The sequence below is a fragment of the Homo sapiens genome, chromosome 4 (assembly GCF_000001405.40).
Source record: "Homo sapiens chromosome 4, GRCh38.p14 Primary Assembly".
NCBI classification, from domain to species: domain Eukaryota; kingdom Metazoa; phylum Chordata; class Mammalia; order Primates; family Hominidae; genus Homo; species Homo sapiens.
This window is the reverse complement of record NC_000004.12, coordinates 45,976,283-45,985,795: the sequence shown is the minus strand read 5'-3', so window position 1 is coordinate 45,985,795 and position 9,513 is coordinate 45,976,283. Positions and strand designations below refer to the sequence as shown.

The 9,513-nt window shown below is 36.2% G+C and overlaps 1 annotated feature.

The window, feature by feature from the left end:
- Positions 283 to 820: an enhancer, noted in NCBI's record as "OCT4-NANOG hESC enhancer chr4:45986993-45987530 (GRCh37/hg19 assembly coordinates)". NCBI's record gives its function as "activates a minimal SCP1, AML or CMV promoter by ChIP-STARR-seq in naive H9 embryonic stem cells {active_cell/tissue: H9 hESC(naive)}" and the evidence as "EXISTENCE:reporter gene assay evidence [ECO:0000049][PMID:30033119]".

Sequence of the window (9,513 nt, the reverse complement as noted above, 5' to 3'; positions counted from 1 at the left end):
CTATAATTTTATCTGTTTCTCTCTGTCCTCTCTTCCCAATATCTCCCACTTCTCCTCAAGAAAACGTTGATAATGCTTTTAGTTGTGAAAAACACTAGTAGATAGTTTACTTCCAGACACAAAACAAACTGAATTTTCTGAAGAAATCAGACAGCTCTGACAGCAAGTGACTGCTTTGAATGTTTATAGTTTATGTCTAGTTAATTCCTGCTCAGTAAAACAAAAAAATCATAAAATCTAAAACAGGAGATGAAGCCATATTTCCTCATAGTCCTTGTTCTTTCTCATTACGAAGGCTATAGGACAGCCTCAAAAACTCTGAAATGTATTTCTATTAAAATGGAAATTTTGGTATAAAACAATCATATCTATGAACATACAGCTACCAAAGCAAAGCTCTAGGCTGCCAAATATATTTTTCCTTATTAAATCTCCAAGGAGTATAAATTAAGTGTCAGTATTAAGCTAAACACTGAGAATTGTAGAGGAGGATAAGGTCATGGCCATCAGATATTTACATACTAATAGGAAAGGTGGACCTATTAACATTCCAAACATTGTTACAGTTACAAAACCTCTTTTGCATTCATTATCTCATTTGATCTTCACTGCAACTAGTGAAGGAGGTCTTATTTAAACTCTCACTTTGCAGATAAGAAAATTGAGGCTTAGAAAGGTTAATTAATTTGTCCAAATGTACACTCTAAATGAGATTCTGAACTAAGAATTTTCTTTGAAAATTTATGCTCATTCTACCCTACAAAGCTGCTAATTCACTAATACTACCATTTAAAATATAAAACTAATATTTTTATTATTAACCAATTAGGCAATATTTTACTGAAAAGTGTTTTGATTGATTTCCAAAATGTAATTTGAAGCATGTAATGCACATTTCTTGTTTTGTGCTACACAGCACTCGTTTTATTCATATTCTGGTGGAATGCATCCTGGTTTTCCTTAGCGTGAGACCTCTAGCTACCCCTTTCCGTTAGCGTTTATAGCAAACATCGTTAGTGAGCTGCCCAAATGCTTTGATCCTTTTAGTTTTCTGTGTGCTGCCTGCCCAGCTTCTATGTGAAATTGCTTCCACTGGCCAAACCTCAGAAACCTGGAGCCACTTTGCTCTCATGCACGAAAAGTCTGGAGCTTATGTTTATGTATGGCCAGTAATTTATAAGTGTAAGAAAAAATTACACCGCAGATTTCTCTGTAGGAAAAGGTTGGAAACATCTTTTTCTGCACTCAGCTGAAATCATACCCTTACTTGGTTTCTTCTTTTCTGTCCTCCTGTCTGGTTTGTGCCTTAATCACTTACACAGTGACCATTTTTCTCAATATCTATTTCTGGGTAACCTAACCCAAGACAGGAGTGGATCATGTGACCTGGCCCTAAGCCCATTGGTAACTCATATTCTTCTCTCAGAAGTTTGTGTTTAGGATTGGTATTAAATTTAAACCAATAATAAACAATCAGATTTTCCTGGGAATCCTGCTGAAGAGAATATTGTCCTTTCATAGGGAATCAAAGCTAAGAGAATGTAAAGTCTTGACATCCTGCAGCTAGATTTTTTCAGCCTGTCATAGGGGAGCACCAAAGACTAAAGAAGAGTCAAGATGAGCCAGTACGTGGGAGGAAAACAGATGCTAAGCATATCATTTATGCCTGTACATCAAGCTATGCCTGAAGGCAGCCCAACTTCTGGACTTCTCAGTTAAAAGAGCAAAAACAATTCTCTTTTTGCTTGTGCCAGTGTATTAATTAGTGCATTCTCACACTGCTATAAAGAAATACCCAAGACTGGGTAATTTATTTTAAAAAAAGTGGTTTAATTGACTCACAGTTCCACATAGCTGGGAGGCCTCAGGAAATTTACAATCATGGCAGAAGAGAAAGCTGGCATGTCTTACATGGCGGTAGATGAGAGAGAGAGAGGGAGACAGAGAGAGAGAGAGGAGAGAGAGAGAGAGAGAGAAGGGGGAAGAGCTCTTTATAAAACCATAAGGTCTTGTGAGAACTCACTCACTATTATGAGAACAGCATGGGGGAAACCACCCTCATGATCCAGTTACCTCCCTCCCTCAACATGTGGGGATTACACTTAGAGATGAGATTTGAGTGGGGACACAGCCAAACCTTATCAGCCAGGTTAATTCAAATTCTCTGAAGAGTAAAGAATGACTGCTGATTCATAGAGGGAACAGATTCATGTTTCAATTGAGATAAAGTAAGAAGTGTTAAGTCCTCTTTTTCTTAGCAATAACAAGTATCTTGAAACCATTCAATTGTCTGAAAGACATACTCTGGAAAAATTAAATTTAACAAGAGTTTAACTGAGCAAAAAACGATTCGAGAATCTGGCAGCCCCCGAACCACAATAGGTTCAGAGTGATTCAGGGGCTGACACATGGTGGGTTAATATTGTCAACTAAAAAAAAAAAAATCAAACTTTTAAAGCATTAAAGTTAGTTTCATTTAGAAGTCTTACGGAGGACTATAAACTGAGGCTTATAGCAGGGGAGCAGTTTAGTAATACTGCTGCAAAACAGTGTTTCAGCTCACAGCTTATATACAGGTGGTAGAAGTTCAGAACATGCAAAATGACATGAAATTTTCTCAAAAGTTATGTTAAAGCAGAATTACATCAAGATTTCCATGTAAGAATACATCTGGTTTTAGACTACAGAGGCATAATCACTAACCTCATCAGAAGTTATCTTATGTGCAAGAAAAGGCAAACACTAGAGTCACTTATCCTTTAAGAAATGTAGTGACTCAGGCAAGAGCTATGGGGACCATGTATTCTATCCTGTTCTGTCTTCAAACATCTTTCAGGAAAGCTGCACGTGGTCACAGAGTCAGGGGCTTTGTGAAATTATGCTAGCAAGCAGAAATGAGGAAACATGGTGTCTTATATTTGCTACTTTGTCTCACAATATTTATGAACAGAAAAGGGAAAGCGATGTACAAAAAACTGACCTGAGTTCACCCAGAAACAGCTGGATTTGTTACAGCTCTGTGTTTGCTTTATTTGAAGAGTTGACCTTCAGTGATTGGTCAAGACTCAACCTCTCAATTTGACCAAAACCTTAAACATTGACATCAAAGATGAAAGCAGAGGGCACTTCCTTATTATGCTGGAATCTCCTGTTTTCAGACAGAAGAAACAAAAACAAAAACTGGTCTGTCTTGGGATCTATCTGGTTCTTTAAAGTCTCAGTTTGGTTGCATGGCATGTAGCATGATTGACTCCATTTTGGCTTGGTCTGGTCTGCTGAGGATTGGTGCACACACTCAGTCAAAGACAACAGCCTTCCATAATTTTGATTAATTCCCCTCTTTTGGTCAGGTTGTCACCTAGGTAAGAGTGTGACTAAAACTTAGAGCTTTAGCACTACACTCAGTTACCATCATTTTGGGTTTCCAGTTTCAGCATGTCATTCATAGGTTACAGTGTCCTAATTATCACAAATTTCTTGAGTTTTTGCCATTCCAGTTAAGGAGAGACCATTTGACATTCTATGGATGGCTGCATGGAAATGTTTAAAACTTTTGAGACAATAAAGCCCACGTGGGAGACTATTATTATGACTCTCAGGAGGATAATACCAAGAGTTTAGAATACACTCCTTAGCCAAGGTCCCCATGAAGCAAATCAACTAAAATTAAATAGATCAAAGAATAATCCAGAGGAAGAGTTTACTTGTTTTAACCAAGCAGCCTGTTTGATAATCTCCTGAAATTGAAACTCTGTAATACCCAGTGTATTCTTCCATGTGCAACAAGAAGTGTCAGTAATTGCACAGATTCTTCCCTACTCAGCCAGTAGGTAATCTAGAGCAATTTTATGATCTAGTACAACTTTAGCAAGGAAATTTAAAGAAGTCTGTTGTGCAACCATTGCCTTTGCAGTAGGATCTTCAATAGAGCTTATTATGAGGGACAAACTTCTAATTATTGTCTCCTTTACTCCAAATCATGGAAAAAGGGACCTAACAATGATGTGCATTCAGTAAGTTGAAGGTCCCCATTAATATTTTCATTAACCTATGATGTAATGCAAATAATTCCAAAGATTGTATATTCTCACAGATAGTAATATTGCTATTATTATTATTAATTAGAAGTAATGTATTGCTGAGTGTGGGTTATGAAATTACATGGCTCCTGAAGTCATATACATGTTTTCACAGATTCTAGCCAACTAGCTGTCTGATTTTGGAAAAAATAATTTTTTTGAGACTGAATTGCCTTATGCATAAGATGAGAATTATGATGGTATTTATAGTGTTATGTTGTCTGAGGAATAATGGTGACAATACATGTTCAAATTTTCAGCACAATGCTGTCCATGTAGTAAGAATGTAATGTTAGCAATTTTCATTGTTTCTAAGGGTGAACTAATTTATTCACATTTGTTACATATGCTGCTTAAAAAAAAATTGTTTTTCACAGAAATTATCTCTTAAAGTTAGTATATAAAAAGCTCACATAGCTAAAGGTAAAATATTTCATTTTATCCCATATCTTTAAAAAGGCTCTCAATGCAATATGCACAGTAGTCAAATTAAGAAAAATGTGTGATAGGCTTTCAGGCGGTGCATAAGAAGTGTTTACTGAGTTAATGTGCGCCTCTTCCTTGAGAAGTTGTGCTTATATAACATAAAAAAGTAAAGATTTAATTTTAAACAAGCAACTATTTCATTCATTTATGACATCTTTGAATAAAAGCTTTAATCAACTTTTAATGAATATTTTTACTTCTTTTTATTGATTAATGTATTAAGATTAAAATTGTACAAATATCATAACTAAACATAATAACTAACCATAATATCATAATAACTAAACATAATAACTAAACATAATATAATAACTAAACATAATAGCATTGTAAAGTTTTAAAAATTATGAAACAGTTTCAAATATATTAGCACATTTAGCTCAAAATATCAGTATGGCTGAGAGACTGTATTATTATTCCCATTCACAAACTAATAAACTCAGGTTTATAGAAATAAGATAAATTAAAAGAAGTTATAGAGTTGAGCTAATGAGCCTGTCACTGGCCCCAGATCTCATTGTTTGTAGAATAAGTTTTGCCATTTTGAAACAATCTTGTGCTCTGTGGTAAAATCTTACTTATGGGAAATTTGGGGATTAAACCTTTGAGACGCAAGTGCAGGGTAGCTCTGCATGATCGAAATTCAAAAAACCCTGTCATATAACATGTCTAGATGAGAGCCAAAGGCAATGCTTTTTTTTTTTTTTTTTTTTTTTTTTTTGAGTCAGAGTCTTGTTCAGTGTCCCAGGCTGGAGTGCAGAGGCGTGATCTCAGCTCACTGCAAGCTACGCCTCCCGGGTTCATGCCATTCTCCTCCTGCCTCAGCCTCCCGAGTAGCTGGGAATACAGGTGCCCGCCACCACGCCCGGCTAATTATTTTGTATTTTCAGTAGAAACAGGGTTTCACCGTGTTAGCCAGAATGATCTCGATCTTCTCACCTCGTGATCTGCCCACCTCAGCCTCCCAAAGTGCTGGGATTACAGGAGTGAGCCACCACAGCCGGCCAGGCAATGCTTTCATTTTGAGAAAGTATGACATAAAAAACCCCGCCCTTCCTAGTGCTCTTCTGAGGCAATCACTAAATTGGTGTGAATCAGGCAGAATTTTGTCAGTTATTTTATCTGAGAAAATTTGATATCAAAAATCATAACCAGAAATTGAATTTAAAAAAGCGTAAAGTTTTAAAGAGGCAAAAATGAAGCATTAAGGTAGTGGTTATCAAAGTGTCATCTATAGACAGCTGAGAATCACCAAGACTATTTCATGAGGTCTGCAAGGTTAAAAAAGTTGTAAGAAATTAAGGTATGGTTTGTCTTTTTACTTTACTATCATCCTTCTATGAGTAAAGTTTTCCTAGAAAATATGTCATGTGTGATGACATCACTGGACTGATGATTAGGGGAATAGTTCCTTATTCATTGTTTTTTCTAGACTTTTCTAGACTTGGTTAAAATAAATACACATTTAGGGCCGGGCGCGGTGGCTCACGCCTCTAATCCCAGCACTTTGGGAGGTCGAGGTGGGCGGATCACGAGGTCAGGAGAGCGAGACCATCCTGGCTAACTTAGTGAAACCCCGTCTCTACTAAAAATACAAAATATTAGCCAGGCGTGGTGGCGGGCGCCTATAGCCCCAGCTACGAAGGAGGCTGGGGCAGGAGAATGGCGTGAACCCGGGAGGCGGAGCTTGTAGTGAGCAGAGATCGCGCCACTGCACTCCAGCCTGGGCGACAGAGACTCCATTTAAAAAAAGAAAAGAGAAAAACATATTCAGGTATTACCTCAGTTTGTACTGTGTTCTTACAAAGCTATCTTTGGTTATACTGGCCATATTCTCTGCAATTTCATTATTGTCCAACAAATAGTTATTTTGAAATCCCTGAATTTTTTTTCTTTTCTTTTTTTTTTTTCTTTTTCTTTTTCTTTTTTTTTTTTTTTTTTGAGACAGAGTCTCACTCTGTTGCCCAGGCTGGAGTTCAATGGCGCGATCTCGGCTCACTGCAACCTCCGCCTCCTGGGTTCAAACAATTCTCCTGCCTCAGCCTCCAAAGTAGCTGGGATTATAGGCGCCTGCCACCAGGCCCGGCTAATTTTTTGGATTTTTAGTAGAGTCGGCGTTTCACCATGTTGGACAGGATGGTCTGGAACTCCTGACATCAGGTGATCCACCTGCCTCGGTCCCCCAAAGTGCTGGAAATACAGACATGAACCACTGCACCCGGCCTGAAATCGCTAAATTTTCAATGGGCATATGTATAAATATAAAGTAAAATAAGTATCCTGTATTATACTGCTTTGCAATATTTTATATTTCTTCATATACATATAAAAGTGACTTTTTTAAAACATAATTTTCAAATGAGATGTACATTTGTTTTTACTTTATAATTTATAATATTTTATTAAAAATGAAACAAAATATGTAAGATTTTTTGCTCTAATTAAGAAGTGACCATTGCTTAAATGTTTGGAAGTCTTGCTTTATTAACACACAATTGTACTTTTTCATCTAAGGAGGCAAAAAACATAAAACTTTTACAGAGCAGATACTTTTTATTTAAAAAAACTAAAAAACTGGAACAAACTTAAATGTGATGAATACTATATTTTTCTAGTGTTTATACATGTTAATAATTTGCCTTATTTTGTCTTATGAACAAAACTATCTGGTAGTATTACAGAGCAAGTTAAGTTGTAATGTAATCAGAGATAAAGAATTTCTTCATATGTTTATTGGCCACATAAAAGTCTTCTTTTGAGAAATGTTTGTTCATATCATTCGCCCACTTTTTGATGGAGTTGTTTGTTTTTTTCTTGTACATTTATTTAAGTTCCTTGTAGATTCTGGATATTAGCCCTTTGTTAGATGGATAGATTGCATAATTTTTCTCCCATTCCGTAGGTCGCCTGTTCACTCTGACGATAGTTTCTTCTGCTGTGCAGAAGCTCTTTAGTTTGATTAGATCACATTTGTCAATTTTGGCTTTTGTTGCCATTGCTTGTGGTATTTCAGTCATGAAGTCTTTGCCCCTGCCTATTTGCAGAATTGTATTGCCTAGGTTTTCTTTTAGGGTTTTTTCATTAGAGAAACACAAATCAAAACCACAATGAGATACCATCTCACACCAGTTACAATGCCTATCATTAAAAAGTCAGGAAACAACAGATGCTGGAGAGGATGTAGAGAGATAGGAACACTTTTACACTGTTGGTGGGAGTGTAAAATAGTTCAACCATTGTTAAAGACAGTGTGGCAATTCCTCAAGGATCTGGAACCAGAAATACCATTTCACTCAGCAATCCCATTACTGGGTATATACACAAAGGATTATAAATCTTTCCACTATAAAGACATCTGCACACGAATGTTTATTGCAGCACTGTTCACAATAGCAAAGACTTTGAACCAATCCAAATGCCCATCAATGATAGATTGGATTAAGAAAATGTGGCAAATGTTCACCATGGAATAATATGCAGCCATAAAAAAGGCTGAGTTCATGTCCTTTGCAGGGACATAGATGAAGCTGGAAACCATCACTCTCCGCAAAGTAACACAAGAACAGAAAACCAAACACTGCATGTTCTCACTCGTAAGTGGGAGCTGAACAATGAGATCACATGGACACAGAGAGGGGAACATCACACACCGGGGCCTGTCAGGATGTGGGGGGCTAGGGGAGGGATAGCATTAGGAGAAATACCTAATCTAGATGATGGGTTGATGGGTGCAGCAAACCACCATGTCACGTGTATACCTATGTAACAAATCTGCACATTTTGTACGTGTATTCCAGAACTTAAAGTATAATAATAATTAAAAAAAAGTGAAAAATTACACAAACACACAAAAATAATAAATCCTTTCAAACTGTATTAGGACAGAGCAATTCAAATAAAAAAAAACTACGTAAATGACAAAAACAAGTTTAAGTTATTAGATACTAAATATGCTCTTTATGAACTCACTATCTTCTTCAGCCCTCCAGTTCACCTGAGAGGGTAGAAACTCCTTCCCTGGAACAACCTGTAGGCTCTAAGCCCACTTCCAGCCTCCCAGCATGGATCCATCCGGAACTCTTAACAGTCCTGGCTTCTCATACACCTAATTAGATATTTCCTTTGAGCAAGGGGGAAAAAAGAATTTATTCAATTGACATCTAAAAAGAATGAACACGCCAAAGGATCAAAAAATCAGTGAACATGAAGAGAGGCGAATTAAAATTATCTAATCCTAAAGACAAAGAAAATTAGAGTAAAAAAGCAAAACAGAGCATCCATGAAATGTGGGATTTTATCACATGCTTTAATATATAGCAATTGCAGTCTGAAAAAGAGAAGAGTGTAAAAATGAGACATAATAAATAATTTAAAATACAATAACCATATTTCCACAATTAATGAGAGGCAACAAACAAATTCTTGGAATTTCAGAGAAATCCAAGAAGCACAGATATAAATAGATGCTTAGGTATATCATAGTTACAGTGCTGAAAACCAAAAATAAAGATACATTTTTGTATAAAGCCAAAAAAAAAAGAATAATCCTTAAATAGGGAGAAGAAAATAATGAACTATAGAAAATATCTCTTCAGGAACTATGCAAGACAGAAGATAATGGTGAGTCTTGTTTTAAAATATTGGATAAAAATAATTCAACATGCATATCAATATCAATTAAAATAATTTTTAAAATGAAGACAAAATAGTACTGAGTTAATCTATTGTGGCACAATTGCATTCAAGAAAATGTAGAAATTTATTTATTTATTTATTCATTCATTTACTTATGTATTTAGTAGAGACTCTGTCTTGCCATGTTGCTCAGGCTGGTCTCAAATACCTAGCTTTGAGTAATCCTCCTGTCTTAGTTTCCCAATGGGCTTTGATTACAGGCATGAGCTACTGTGCATGATCATTGAGGAAATTTTAAAGAAGGGATTTCTGG